Here is a 16184-nt window from a genome sequence, read left to right as displayed (position 1 = left end):
GAGAAGGCAGAGCTCTCAGGCTAGGCAAGTCTCTTAAGCCAAAGTCATGATCTTAATAGGGAAAGCATGTGATTTTGACTCTTGGAATAGATCTTTGCATATATGCACTTCGAACTTTAATTTCCCCTGAACCCTCCCCGTTCCTGAAGAAATGGCCTATTCTCCATTGTTGAAGATTGTCCCCCATTCTCCACCTTGCTTGAAGACTATAAACAGACTTCAAATAAGGCCTTACAAGACCATGAAGGGTCCTCTTCAGGATATACCCCCACTTCCCCTCTTAGCCACCTGATGCGTAACTAGCATCAAATCTCAGCTCAATCAGAAAAGTGCTGGGCCTTCGTAATGGAAGATGACATTATTTGTTCAAGGAACCTCAGGACCTAGAGAAAACTTACTAAGCAGAAGCTGAGAGAGTGTGTCTAAGAGAGGACCCTAGGAGTGCCTAACCAAAGGGAACAGAGTATAAGTTTGTTAAGGGAAAGCTTGGAGATTTGGGGCACTCCACCACTGCTGTAAGCTAATTCCCTAGCAAGGACTTGGGAGGTGACTCAAGCTGATGCTAGGAAACATTTTGGAAGACTGAAAAAGGCAATGAAGCAAAGTGAAGTAAAAATGCAGGAACTTTTGTGACAAATAATGGAGAAGGTATTAGAAATTTCAGAGAAGTGGGTATGCTGGATTACATCTGCTAAATAAGGCAAGAAAACCACTAGATGACCAAATTCTTAAGAGAACTCACAGGGCAATCCATTTAGAAAGAAATGCACTGGTGAGGGGGCTTCAGCATCATTGAAAACCTCAGCAGTAGCTGTCTTTTGTAAGCCAGTTCTGGTGGTAGGGCATGCGGTTACAGAATTGGGTGCCTAATAACAACGGAGATGATAGAAGTCTGGAAAACCAAGTCAGGTGGCAGCACTTAACTGTCAGAAGCAAGGTGGGTGTAATAACCATAATGGGCAGCAGGCTCAGGATGGCAGCCAGAGAGGCCTAACCTACAGATATCAAAGGAGATGGCTAGAACATGGTGTTCCTAGGGACAAAATAAATGGACAGCCAAAAAGGGTACTGCTTATTATATATAATCAAGAGATCAAGAATGGTTGGGTAGAAGGCTGAAGTCAGCCACTTCTGTAGAAAGTCATAATCTCCTAATCAGTTTTTGGCTCTCTGGTTAGAACCCATTTACTGAAGGAGAGGCCAGGTCCCTATGAGAAAGAATGCTGCAACACCATGGCAATTGTAGATGGTAGTTATTTCTCCAATCTTCCGCCCCAAAAAAATCTTTGACCATTTACCCAGATCTTTCTAGAGCTATTAGATACATATTTTGGGTTGATGCTGATACCCAGGGGGCTCAGAGCACCAACGTGGCACCGCTGTTAGAGTAGGGGCACATTTGCGGCTGAGACAGCAAATGGAATCTTGGCCCAGATCCACCTCACGGTGGATCCAATGGGTCACAGTCCCACGCTGTGCTCATTTTCCTGCTTCCAAGCTTGGTAATTGGAAGAGACATATTTAGCATTTGGTGGAAACCTCACATTCATTTCTTGATGTATACAGTAAGAAGTCCTGTAGTAGAGAAGATTAAGTGGAAACCCCTGAAACTTCACACCACCTGTCCCCTTTCTGCCCACACCAAGACTAAAAATATTTTATCACAAAAGAATGGCAGAGATTAGCGCCACCCTGAGATCCAAAGGATGCAGGTATGATTGTCTTCATTGCATTCCCCTTTAATTCACCAGTTTGGTCCCTGCAAACAGATGAATTATGAACAATATTGGATTATTAAATATGAAACCAAATAGTATTCCTAATTGCAACTGCTGTGCTGGATGTGGTATCATTACTTATCATAAACTTATGACAAAATTATCTTCCCCAAGAGTACCTATGTCTTTCATGAAAGACATTCATGAATTCATGAACTTGGGAATTTTTAAATAGACCAATTAGACATAGAGTTAATTTCTTAAAATGGGTTGGGTGTCTGATTACATTTTGGGTTGTAGAGTAGAGTGAGAATGTAAGTAGCTAGTAGATTACTTTAAATTTCTACTATTAAGCAGGGCTTTCAAATAATCATGCCAATTAACAAATTTATACATTTCGGTAAGAGCTTATAATATATCAAATCTTGTTTTTAAATGGTTTAAAATAGATACCTTACAAACAATAAGTATGACTCACAGTTGGGGATAAAAACAGATTTAAGCTTTGTGGAGAAATGTGGGGAACCAGAAACTCCCCCTATTCTGACTGGAAAGTATAATCTTTCTTCCCCCTAAAAGCTTGTTTGCCAGCTGGCTCTTCCTGAGTCCAGCTTTAGGAGAAGACTGAGAGGGAGCAAAATCTCTGCACAGAGAGAGGGAAAATCTAATCTGAATTATACCAAGTCTTTGAGAATCTACTCCTCTCCCTCATGTTCACACAGATCCTTAAACTTCTCCAAAACATTCCAGGGATATATCACCAGGAGGAAAAGAAATGGAGCAGGGGAGAGCTCCACTGCTGCATAGGATTTTTACCCTCCCCAGAAGGCCACCTAAGGCCAGCAGCCCAGAACAGAAGCAATCTGAAAAGAGGTTAATCTCAACCAGTCTCCATTTTAATTGTGTAAAGTACTTTCCTGTGACTGAATGCAGAGTGAGTCTCTACAAAAAGACTACAGCTGCCTTCTTGCAGTCCCCAAGAACAAACACATAGCCTTTTGTTTAAAAGGTTGTAGTGCTCTTTACTACTGGGTCACAGACTTGGAAGAAGTTAAGAATTGATGAAGTTCTTGTCATCACTCCTTTTCCATGTCCTGAACTCCTTGCCTAGATGATAGCAGAAACCCCACTGATCTCCTGTAGGCTTAACTATTTACAGAGTGCTTGTCTTACTTCTCTACTTCCTCGTATCCCAATCTTCCCTTGGTCTTATGGATCTTTCCTCTCCAGTTCCTTCTTTCCTACATGAGTTCGTGGTATCATTGGTCCCAATTCTTTGCCCCATTATCTGCATTCTCTGCCCCATTCACTGCATTCACATCCTTGTCATGGCCTCATTGTGAGTGGGGCTTGACTTTGGGCTTAGTCCTGTTGCTTGCTTTGCATTTCCATTTGCTCTCTTGCACTTTCACCATTTGCCATGAGAAGGACATGCCCAGGGTAGGGAGGATAAGACTCATGTGATACAAATCTGCTCCCACCACTGGCAGCTTAAAGCAGACCTTGCCTCCTCTTACCCTGCCAGCTGATCTGTAGAGCTGTAGTGAGAAGCAGAGCCCAGTCCAGATCTGCTGAACCCCAGTTGACAAACTGAATATGAGCAACAGTAAATTATTTTTGTCTTAGGCCACTGAGTTACAAAATGCTTTTTAGTTAGCAATAGGTGGACAGGTCTCAGGATTCCACCAGAATCAACAAGTATAAACTGCAGCCCTTCTTCTCAGTTGGTTAATATTATCTCTGAATCTCAAGATATCACTGGCAGACATTGCCACCCCTGCATGCCATAAAACACACACACCTCTGAATGTTAAATAAACCAACAACAAAACAAAATCCAATAACTTTGCAAGAGTCTAAAACTATTAAAAAGGTATAAAAGTTTAGGATATTTAACTGGTTTATTAAAAGTTACAAAGATAAATGTAGTACTCACACCTACCTTTATTTTCCTTTGTTCATAAGTTGGCCTTTTATTCTCTCATCATTGAACTTGGATACAATACCACAAAGACAATATTAAGCACTATTAAACAACAGGCAACACTTTGCCAGATACTCAACAAGTATTAAACTATAAACTTAAAGGCCGGGTGTGGTGGTTCACACCTGTAATCCCAGAACTTTGGGAGGCCAAAGCGGGTGGATCACCTGAGGTCAGGAGTTCAGGACTAGCCTAACCAACATGGTGAAACCCCGTCTCTACCAAAACTACAAAAATTAGCCAGGCATGATGGTGGGCGCCTGTAATCCCAGCTACTCAGGAGGCTGAGGCAGGAGAATCGCTTGAACCCGGGAGGCAGAGGTTGCAGTGAGCCGAGGTCACATCACTGCACTCCAGCCTGGGCAACATGAGTGAAACTCCGTCTCAATAAAAAAATAAAAAAAAAAACTATAAACTTTATAAATAGAGAACCCTACCATACTGTGAATTGAAACATCCAAATAATGTAAGGACTTCAACTATTTTCTACCTACTTGACATTAATACACGTCCCATAAAAATTCCAATATTTGGGGACTTGAAAAAATGATTTTTAATATTTGTTTAAAGAAATGAACATCTGGCCAGGCACAGTGGCTCATGACTGTGATACCAGTACTCTGGGAGGCTAAGATATGTGGATCGCTTGAGGCCAGGAGTTCACAACCAGCCTGGACAACATGGTGAAGCCCTGTCTCTACAAAAAAAAAAAGAACATCAAATAATGAAAAACAGGAAAAACTTAAATTCACAGATGTCAAAACAAATTACAATAATTAAAACTATAGTTCTTACACAAGAAAAAACAGGAAAAACAGCTAAAAATAGAATGCATTTACATATAAGAATTTTTTACATGAGACAGCAGTGGGAAAAGCATTCTGCTCAGTGATGGAGCTGGGATTAACAATTTGTAGGAAGCATCAGTTCTGTAAACTGCTGGAGGCAGGACCATTTCTGCTCATCTTGTACCTCCAATGCCTGAAATGTAGGAGGCACTCATCAAATAATACTGAGCATATTTTACTAAGGACCTGCATTTACAAAATTTAATCACAGTGAAACAAGTAATTGTGAAATTTCTAGAGAAATATATGATTAGTAGTAATCATTAAAAGGGGATCAACTGATTTAAAGATTTTAAGGACAGATCTATTAAAAGGCAAATAAGTAACTGATGGATCAATATAGAGTATTTCTACAAAGTAATAGGAAAAGCACTAAGCACTGAATGGATACATAAGTGATGTTTACAGACAGATAATTCATTAAAATGAAATTATATGCAAATATACAGAAATGTATACAAATCCATTTCCTCCTAAGTTAGCAAAATATTTTTCAATAAAAACAATGCCAATGACTGCATGTGCATTTATGCTTGCATGCGTTAGAAGTTGGTATAATAATTGTAGAAGTTGATTTCTGTAAAATCCACCAAGAATCATGGAAATGTAATAAGGTTTGCTCCCATTCTTTACAGCTTTAGGGTGCCCCTCCTAAAGAAATCATTTAAAACTTTACTCAGATAGTCACAACGATCTTATTTAGAACAATAAAAGATTGGAAGCAACATTAAAGTCTAACTAGTGGGAGGGTTAAGTAAAATATGGCGTGTCTGTTGTATAGGATATTTGTAACCAATAAATGTAATAGTTGTGAAGGTCATCAAGTTCCATGGAAATACAATTATTATACAAAGTTAAGTGATAAACAAAAGGCATGACACCTTATACTAAACTAAACAGGCTCTGCAAGGTACTTGCCAGTCATCCCGCTTCCTTCCATTAAACCAAGTGCAGGCCATACCTCTGATGGTTTGTTGTTTCAACCACAGGCTGTTGGGTCATGTGTCACATGACTCCTCATCATAGCTTTTGCCCAAAGGGTGAGTGTCTGTGTTAGTGGACCTTTTTAATTTGGAGACTTGCATGTTTTAGTTTGTGGATGATTTTTTGGTATTTATAGAAAATTTCTTCCCATTCTTTTTGTCTGCAATCTTCATAATTCCTAATAATTGGATGGATTATAAACCTCTTTAAGTTTCTCTGTGATTTAAAAATGTATAGTCATCCCTCAGGATGCACAGGGGATCGTTTTCAGGACCCCCTTGTATGCCAAAATTCACATATATGCAAGTTCCACAGTTGGTCTTTTGAAATCTGCATACAGAAAAAGTGTAAGCACCTTTTGTATTCCTCAAATACTATATTTTCCATCTGCTCATAAGTGGATCTTCCCAGTTCAAACCTGTGTTGTTCAAGGGTCAACTGTATCTCCTGATAGGTTTTCTCAAGTTTATCTTCTACATTTTCTACTGAATCTTTAATTTCAGCTATCATTATTCATTTTCATGAGCTCTTTCTTGTTCTCTGATAGTTCCTGTTGCAGACATGTGGAGCTCAACAAATATTCCATGTGCTTTTCTACATTTCCTGGCTTTCGTTAGATTGGAGCCATGTGACTAGTTCTGGTGAGTGGTCTGTGAGAAGAAGTGACATAAGTCACTTTCAGGCTGAGGCAGGTAAAAGCTACTGTGCCTGGGTCCATCCCTCTTGCCTCCTGCTCTGGTGTCCTTGTAAGCCACATGTAAAAATGGTGGTGTCTTAAAATCAAGGGAGCTTGCATCTCTGAGTTCCAGATAAAGGAGAACAACTTATAATTGCTTTGGACTTGCTATAAATGAGAAATAAACTTTAGTTGTCCTCAATCATTGAAAATTGAGTGTTGCTACAGCATAGCCTATTATATTTTAATACAATGCTTTTTCTTTTGTTCATGGCATTCTGTCTTGCTTCATGAATGCAGTATTTTTTCTCCTCTCAGTATTATAATAATGCCTTGCTGGTATAATCTGTTTTTCTTCTAATTCCTTTTTCCTGTTTGTTGTTTCTCTTTTGGATGTTAGAGGCTCTCCTTAAGTATCCTATGCTTTTTGACCATTCAATTTAAAAATAAGGTATTAAAAATTTGATACAAAATTTCGTAAGCATGGATGGGTCTTGTAGCCCGTTAAGCAGGGGTTAGCTCTTTATTGAGAGACCCACATGTGTCAGTACACGAAATCCTTTGGGGGCTATTCAATATCCAAATAGAATAATCCTCCAATATTTTGGGAGGTGGGATGGCACATATATACGTCTGTATTGTGAGGGCAAGGTGTGGGAAGAGTCTCATTATTTAAAGTGCAAACTTTCACTAAATTCTGCATTTTCAATGCCTGGTGTCCCCACATTTGGAAGCCTTATTCGATTTTGTTAGAGAATCAACTTCTGATCTTTTGCAGGGTTAGTCATCTGGTTGTGCAGTTTTTTTGTTTTTGTTTTTGTTTTGTTGTTGCTGTTTTGAGATGAAGTCTTGCTCTGTCACCCAGGCTGGAGTGCAGTGGCTCAATCTCGGCTCACTGCAACCTCTGTCTCCCAGGTTCAAGCGATTCTTCTGCCTCAGCATCCCGAGTAGCTGGGACTACAGGCGTGCACCATCATACCCAGCTAATTTTTGTATTTTTAGTAGAGACAAGGTTTCACCGAATTGGGCAGGTTGGTCTTGAATTCCTGACCTCATGATCCGCCTGCTTCGGCCTCCCAAAGTGCTGGGGATTACAGGCTTCAGCCACCGTGCCCAGCCTGTGTAGTTTTGAGAAGGGGATTTGGGAGGATCCAACTACATACAGATTTCAACCAAGCCCTCTATTTTTAGTCTTATGCCTCATCCTCATCTTTGGCAGTGCCTGGGTCTTCCAAATGCTAAGTCCTCCCAGGAACCCATTGGGCAAGTTACCTTTCTGCTGTAGGCATGTGGGCTGGGCTTACTCCACTCTGCAGTCAGTCACTACTCCTCCATCTGGTATTTGGACTTGACATAAATGAGATCTTTCAAACTTGCCAAATTTTCTTCTTATCTGTGGTTTGCTTGTGTGTTCTCTTGTTTCTTGTGGGATTTATGTATTTTTATTCCTTCACTGAGACTTGACGGCATGTAGGAACAGAGAAGAAATTTCTTTTAGAAAATAAATGATAAATTACCTCTTTTACCTGGAGATATATTGCTTTTGTAATGGAAAAATATGAATAAAATAATTATAAGGAAGTGCCAACACTGCTCACTATGAATTACTAAAATCTATACAAGTACAGCAAGAAAGTGGCCAACAGACATGATTTGATTTTCTTTCCACTCACCTCCCTCTAATATCAGCAAAGATTTCATGGAATTCTGTAGGTGCTTATGCAATTCTTGAAATATTAAGAAGGTTTAGTAATTCAATTTCAGGAATACTTATTGATGAGAAAAATCACATCACATCACTAAAACTCCTTTCCAGAATTGTTTTCTGTGAATTGGCACCAATAGTACAAGCAAAAATTAATATTTTAGTTTTTGTTGCTTTGTTATTTGGTTTCTGAACAAAATTGTAAACTTAAAAAATTGACTTTTTTGGAGAAAGGAATAGATGTAAAAGTTATCATTTGGATTAACTGCATTGTAACATATAAACTCAGATATATTTGCTAAGTGTTATTCATGTTTTCATTGTAGCTTAGCTCTATTTTAAGTTTTTCTTTCATAAGGTTAATTTTTCCCTCTCATATGCAACAGTGAGCCAGAGATAGCTTATTCCCCTGATTCCCACTCCCCTCAGCACATACTATATTACCATGAAAATAGAAATATGGTTTGCCCTCATCCTTACATCTTTTTGGGAATCCATTCTAAGGAAATGATCCAAAATTCAGCATATTTGGCATTAAGTTATTCATAACAGTCTTGTTTATAACAGGAAGAAATTAAAAGCACACACAGTTTCAACACATACACACTCAACTTACCCCAGTCAGGTGTTCTTAATTATGTGAGGGAAAGATTGGCTTCAAAGAGGAGCATAGGGTTCATCTTTAGTAACAGCAGGAAGGCAGAATATATGGGTGCAGATGGTGGAAGGTGGGTAGATTGAGGGAGTGGGAGTTTGTGGAAGTTCTCTTCTGATTGCTCCAATTTTGCCAGGAAAGTAAGAAGCAAGGTTGTCTGCTGCGAGTGGGGGCAGAGGTGTTGGATGTGTGAGGAGAAAGAAGAAGGTGCGAAATACTCATCTAGTAGAGTGGGAGGGTGAATGTACTAGGGAAATACAGTGTGGTTGTCAGGCAGCTTTATGGACCTCCTTGAGGTCAAGAGTTGAATTTAAAGCAAGACATGCCAGCATGGTTTTTTATGTTTCCAGCCACTTCTAGCTGGACTGACTTCATAGGCCAAAGCAGCAAAAATGAGAAATAATCAAATTTGGAGTTTAGCCAAGCAAATGTAATGAAACAACAGGGACATGGAAAGTGAGGATATATACACAGAAGTGACTAATGACTGACTATGGATCTAAGCTGGTTTAGGAGGGAAGAGAAGAGGACATAAAGTGGGTGGGGACAGTAAAAAGGTGGCAGGATCAATGGATTATAGGTTCTGTGGAGGGGGGTGCAGAGGATTTTTTGGATCTAGGGCTTTAGAAAGAGCTAAAAATATAAGGGCGATCACAGAGGGAGTATCACGGAATAGTCACAGTAATTTGTTATGATAAGGCCCAGGGTGTCACCATGAGAGTAATGAGGGAGGGTGGAGGACAAGATCACCAATGCAGGGACATTTAGTGAAGTGAGTGGCCATGACACATGAAGTTTCTTCAGGTGGTATATTAAAATCACGAAAAATCGAGATAGAAGTAATGTTGAAGAAAATGACAGTGAGACAAATGTCAGTAAGTTATAGCTGCAATGAAGGGTAGTGGGTGATATAGTCGGATGACATATGATTCAAAGCAGGGGTATTTTGGGAGGAGAGAGGGAGAATGGTCTGGAAGTTGTGATGAGCAGCAAGGAGGACCTCATCCTGCCTTCAAGCCCAGAAGTCTGAGGGCCGTGGGAGGAAAAGCAGCCTCTGCGCTACTGGAGGCAGTGTCCTCTGGGGAGAGCCAAGTTTTGATTAGAGCAAGAAAGTGAATGTTCAGAGAAGAGGCTGGAGGCAGAGGGATTTTTTGCTAATGATGGATCATGAATTCAAGAGGGCACAGTGGAAGGTTTGGGGAGCTCAGGAGGGGTGGGATGTGGGGATAGAATTAGGTTGTAGAGAGTCATATAGGGATAAAAAGATGGGAAGTGAGAGTGTCCTGGGAACCAGCAGCTTCTTGGGGCAAGTAACACAAACAGGGACAAACGCCATAATGAGATTGGTTCCAGTGGACTCAAGGCAGATGTTGATGAGAAACTCTGAGTGTTGAGCTGTGAGCATTTGAGGGTATGGAGTCATGAGTGTCTGGGGCTTCCTGCTGGCCCCTGTCCTTGGCAGGTAGAAGAACTGGGATCTTAGAGCTGGGGTAGAGCTTTTGCTTGAGCTCTCTTAGGGAGGGACCATGGGGTTACTATCATACATTGTCTTTTAAACCTAACAACTCTAAAAGGGTTTTATTCCTCATTTTATAGATGAGAAAGTTGACCTTAGCTCAGAGAGGTTAAGCAACTTGCCCAAAGCCACACAGCTAGTCAGGTTTGAGTTCAGATTCAAAAGCCAAATCTGTTTTTTCTTTTTGTTTAGTTTTGTTCAGGTGTGTTTGTTCACGTTTGTTCTTTTTCTCTCAAATCACACTGCCTCTATACCTCTTCTTTGAGATGAATGAGACTGAGGTAACATAGGTATAGCTGAAGATACGTTTGTGGAATGGGGGCAAAGTTGAAGAAATTTACTCTTGAAGGCATGTTTTTTGTTTTTGTTTTTGTTTAATCCAGATATCCATTTGTGGGGGTCCTCTCTTTCCCTTTAAACTGAGATAAGAGTGCTTCAGTATTTCAAACAAGTGAAAGTTATTAAGGCCTTCCCAAAATTTCTACAGAGTCCCAGGGCTCGTGTTTTCATAGATTCCTCTGGGTCTCAATCATAGCGCTCTTATGTCTACGCTTCATTGCCCCAGATAGAAAAGTGTTCCTTCCTTAAATTCTACAAAACCACATTCTCACAAAGCGCTTGTATTTGTGGTAGACTGTACAGAGGCTTTTGATGGGAGGCAGACAAGGGGTATTTATTCACTCTTGTTCTTAAAAGCCTTTGTTTTCCCCACTGGGATTTTGCACTTGGGGCTTCTCCTGAGTGTCAGTTAACTTTGGCCAACTTGCCGACTCCTCCCTATTCCTCTCCTTGTTGTCCTTCAGAATGCGATTTTTTTCCACTCTATTATGTTAGGCAACTGTTCCTATCCCTTACTCTCCTTTCTGGTCTAAGCCTTCCTTTGTAAATCCAAGTTCATTAAGGCTTTCCACTGATGAAAAGATCTTCCATGAAACAAGATCCAGCTGCCTGGTTTCCCTTTCTATTGCCCTGTGTGCAGATAGAAGCAAGGCCATCTGCTAAGATGGGGAGCTAAGGTGGGGAAAGCAGGAGTAATAAAGGGCTTGGGAAGGGGGTAGGGTAATGCCAAGTGGCCTCTACAAGGAAAAGGGAGGCAGGAGTATCAAGGGAAAGGAATGCCAGGGATGCTGGGGAACTCAGCTGAAACAGATTCTTTAGCAATCAGCCATGTAAGCAGAAAAGTGAAACATTTGCTGGGTTTTCTTGGGGTTAAAGTCTGCAGAGTGAGCACAGGATAAAGACAAAGACACAAAGTTATGTAATGTGCTGACAAGACAGTTGCTGGCGAGACTGGCTGTGGGTCTGAGCGGGACAGTGAGAAAATGGGCCAAGAAGAGGAGAGGGAAAACAAAAAAGGAAAGAAAAATCCAACATCTCAACAAGATTGGAAAATGGGCTGTGAAAGGAGGGGCAAGACAGGAAGGAGGTAATGTTAGAAAGGGGATTCATAGAGGAGTTAAGATTCAGCAGTTGCTTGGCTCTCCTTGCACCCTAGGACCTGAGTGCCCACTGGGCCTCAACGCCATGCTGGCGCTGCCTGCTGGCTGTACTCCCATTTTCTCCCTGAAAGACATCAGCCTGCCAAAGCTGCAGCAGCATAAAGCAGCCCACCTCTCCAGCTTCACAGAAGCCTGATGAGAAGGCTAATCAGGAAATCAAGTGCCCCTCCCTAGGCAGGCTTAGCACGGCTCCCTGCAGCACCTGTGGTCATCCAGTTTAGGAAACACACAGTCGCAGAATAGCTCCTATTTCTCTCTCTCCCACTTCTCTAACATCCCACTCTCCTTTTAGGGAACAATGTTCTCTTCTGCCTGCTGCCACACATATGGGGGGTAGCAGGAGTGGGCATTTGATTTCCCTGGATTTGAAATTGAATCCATCTCTACTGAAATTCTCTCTAATTTACATGTGCTCAGTGTTATCACCTTGTGGTCTGATTGCTCATCAGTTGCCTTCCTCCAATCCCACAGTCTCCCCACATTTTTGTTTCATTTTTATTTACTCCTCTTCCAAATCAAATGTCATCTCTGTTAACACTATATTGGAAGAAGGGCAGAGAGAGCCCTTCTTTCTGCATTCTTGTTAGAAGCGAGCTGTGGTTTAGGAAATGTTCCACATGCCATAGGTGATCCATCTGTCATCAGTGTAGCACAAAGCAGCATTTCTGCCTGCTTTTCCTTTCTCTCTCTTCCCCCCCAAGCCATATCTCTAGTAGCTTGATATCATGTACTACTGTGCCTATGGCACAGTTAGGGACCACTTTAAAGTTAAAACAAATGTCCTTAGTCACGGGGCCATATGGAGACTTGGTGGGTGGTACCATTAGTGGTAAAGCTTGAGGCAGATTTGCATTTGCTTTGTCCAGAAGAGAGAATCCCAAATCAGAGAAATGTTTTCATAAAATATTCTGGAACAAATTTAAAGCTGCTCTACCACCAAACAAGAATCTTCCTGTTCTCTGTGCAATTTTTCCCCTCAAATGATTTCAGACATGCCCATCCTGGGCAGAAGCTCCCGACACTTACCTGCGTGATCCTTGGCGACCATCATTTTATCCCAATGGGCACATTTGATCATGGTCTTCTCCAAAATCAGCACAGAGCTCTCTCAGGGGATTTTTTGGGAAAACAATGACCCAGTTTCTCTTTAATATTTCATCATAGATTCACATATTTCTGGTGAACTCACAAGGAAACATCTAAAGCACAGAGCAAGCTATTAGCCAATGAACTATAAGCAATCTTCAGCTTCTGGGCATTCTGCTCACCCTTCAAAGTGATGTCCTCAGCTAATTAGACAACTTGCTCTTCTATCACAGGGACCGGAATAGACCATGACTGTGAGCAGCTTGGAGGCAGGGGACATGTCCCTTCTCATTGCACGAGCACATGTTTGGCAAGAAGTAGGGCCTTATGGCAGAACCAAATTGAATCTGGAGCTGAAAGGAGCCCACAAAATCATCTAGTTAATAGGTTCCTTAGAACACTAGGGCCCAATGAGATAGAGGTTAAAGGGTGTCGGGGAAGAGGAAAGAGAGAGGTTCAGGGGCTGTTTCATGGGCAAGTTAGTTTGGAAAATAATGTAATCAACAAAGTTTTATTACTATTATAGAACATACTGAGTCTTTAAAGTGCTATTGAGCCTTATGAATGACCAAAAGAAGGGACATACGTGTATATTGTGTATTCTCACTAGAGTTCTGTGAGTCGGTGTGGGAAGGGCTGATACCATTCAATCCTCTCATTTTATACATGAGGAAAATGAGGCTGTAAGAGGAAATAGCAAGGCCAGGTGTGCCACATGCCTGTAACCCCAGCTACTTGGGAGGCTGAGGCACGAGAATCACTTGAACACGAGAGGTGGAGATTACAGTAAGCCAAGATTGTACCACTGCACTTTAGCCTGGGCAACAGAGGGAGACTGTCTCAAAAAAACAAAACAAAACAAAAAACACACTCAGAGACATTTACTTTATTATCAGTGTTTCTGGGATTAGAACCTAGACCTCTCCTTGCTGTGCTTTTTTCCACAGAAAATCACCACAGCCTCTGCATCCCAGGCAATGGGGAGAGAACCTGCTGAATGAGCCAATAGCACTAATATGATGTCAAGAGCTTGTTTTTAGCTTGACATTTCAAAGATTCATGTCCTGTGACAAGAAGAATTACCCCAAACCTCCCCAGGCCTTTAGAGAACACATTTTCCCTCATGAACCATGCAGTTCCCAAACTTTTGATCCATGTGAGGAGATGTCATACGCTGCTTTATATTTTATTCATGAGAGCCCAAGCCATCACATCACCTGTAAAAAAAAAAAAAAAAAAAAAAAAAAAAAAAAAAAACGCAAAAATGATTGCTACAGAAAAAACCTTTATGGAGAGATGCAAAACCCTATACTGAAATTAGAAAAACATAAAATGCCAAGAAAAACAGTCAAACGTGCATGGAACACTAGACAGAGAGGTGTGCATGTGATGGAGTGGGGGTGTCTTCTGAATCATTTCCCTAAATATAGCAATGCAGTTTTAAAAAAATAAGCCTTTAAGTGCTGCTTCCCAGAAATCCTGTTATTTCTCTGCATATGCCTTATGTAAGTCTGTGCCACAGGCCTGCAGAACAGTCAAACGGGAAAGGACAGCCCTATCCCGAAAGAACCATCAAGAGAGATTCAACAGAAAATTTGAGAGACTATGAAGCTCAGGAAGCTTTGGCTTTTCCATCCGTGCAGCTGTGAGTGGTGCTGTCTGTTACAGCTGATGTCTGTCAAGTGCTTCCCACCTAGATATTGTGGGGTAGCTCTAATATTTATTCATTTCACTTCTGAATAGAGCTGTCACTGTTGTTAATCATTTCCAAAAGCCTTAATGTTATTCTTATTAAACTCCTGAAGGAACGTCTCTTTCTACCTCCTACTCTCATTCCTTTGGCATCTCTCTCCATTTTCCTTTTTCTATCTTTACCTTCTGAGTGGTTTTAGAAAGAGGCCTCCAGAGGTTTTAGAAATCCATTTCTTTAGATTCTTCTTCCAGCTTACATTTAGTAACTGCTTACAACAGTTCTCTGAACTTCCTCCTAGTAAGTGGTACAGGGTGGCAGGAATCCTGATGGCCAATGGCAGGCATTTGTATACCACACAGGTGAGTTGTTGAAAGAGAGTCACATTTATGTTGGAACAACTGTCCTGATGTTTCTGGCTCCACTCTGCCGCCTCCATAAATGCCCATGTTTGGGGTCAGCTTTGAGCACACCAGTGAACAGAGTGAGTTGTCATGATGGCAATCTCCTCTCCTTTCTAGAAGTCCCTTCTAATGTCATTGACCTGCGTGCACCCTCATCCTGGCAGTTTCTCCTACCTGGGCCTCTCTTTTTCCTACTTACCCATAACAAAGCCTCTTTACCTATCTGCAGTCCCATTTAATCCTTTTTAGTTTCTCCCCTGAACTGCTAGAGATAATCATGCATCCCTGCTAGCTGGAGCCCTGGAAATAAGCTGATAAACAATTTCCTAATAATCTATTAACTGATAATGACTATATGTTATTTGCCTAGGATACTTCACATTTTCTATTAAAATATGAAGTATCCTAGGCAAATAATATAGGCAATAATATAGGCAAATAATATAGGAAATGTGAAGTATCCTAGGCAAATAATATATTACTCATTAATTCACAAAAGTACTGAAATACCTATCATGTGCTAAGCCTTATTCTAGGGATCAATTTAGACAAGGTCCCTGCTTACCTTCTAGTGGGAGAGACAGACAGTAAGTACATAAACAAGACCATTTGTGATAGTAGTAGGTTCTATGAAGAAAATAAAGAAGGTAATATAATAGAATAATTAGTTGAGCTTGGGTAAGTAGGGAGGGCTTCACTGAGGAGGTGATATTTGAATCTTCCCCTGAATGAAGCAGAGCAAGATCTGGGAAAAGAGTGTTCCAGGCAGAAGGAAGAGCAAGTGTAGAGTTTCTGAGGTGGGAACAACTTGGATAGGAAAGGGAAGGAAGTGAGGATGGCTGTGGTGTGATGAGTAAGGGAGTGGAGGGAATAAGCCCGGAGAGGTGGGCTACAGTCAAGTCATGCAGTGCTTTGTAGTTCCTGATAAGAAGTTTAAATTTTATAAGTGCAATGGGAAGTCTTTGGAGGGTTTTGGAAGGGGACTGACTTTCAATTTAATTACTAAAAGGCCAGGCTCTAACTTAACAGAATGTTCCTCTACCTGTGGAGAAACTTTCAAGCCAGCAGAGGAAGAGCTAAGACAGTGTATTGAGAAGCAGCTTCAGGACATCTGGATCACAGTTCTAACTACCCAAAACAACTTAGGAAGCTCCTTCACCTCATTGCTTTCAGATTTTTCACATGGACTATGATGAGGTTGCACCACTTAGTACCCACAAGCCTTTTCCCATCATAACACACATAGAAAGTAATTTTTGTACTGCACCCCTGGGAATGAGGCTTCTAGAGTCTTCCCTAAGGGCTGAGGTACACCCATAACACACAGGGAGGGAACTTCTAGACTAGGTGACTTCTAAGGTCTGTCTTCGTTCTAGTAGTGTAAGAGTTCATGATATTTCCTTGTGATGTCCTTCAATT

General features: G+C 41.1%; 1 annotated feature.

Annotated features, from left to right (window-relative positions):
- Nucleotides 7010-7177: a silencer, noted in NCBI's record as "fragment chr1:181960367-181960534 (GRCh37/hg19 assembly coordinates)". NCBI's record gives its function as "represses an EF-1alpha promoter that drives an FKBP-Casp9 reporter gene in an ReSE screen in HepG2 liver carcinoma cells {active_cell/tissue: HepG2}" and the evidence as "EXISTENCE:reporter gene assay evidence [ECO:0000049][PMID:32094911]".

The sequence above is a fragment of the Homo sapiens genome, chromosome 1, assembly GCF_000001405.40.
Source record: "Homo sapiens chromosome 1, GRCh38.p14 Primary Assembly".
Classification (NCBI taxonomy): Eukaryota; Metazoa; Chordata; class Mammalia; order Primates; family Hominidae; genus Homo; species Homo sapiens.
This window is presented reverse-complemented; position numbering and strand designations above follow the sequence as displayed.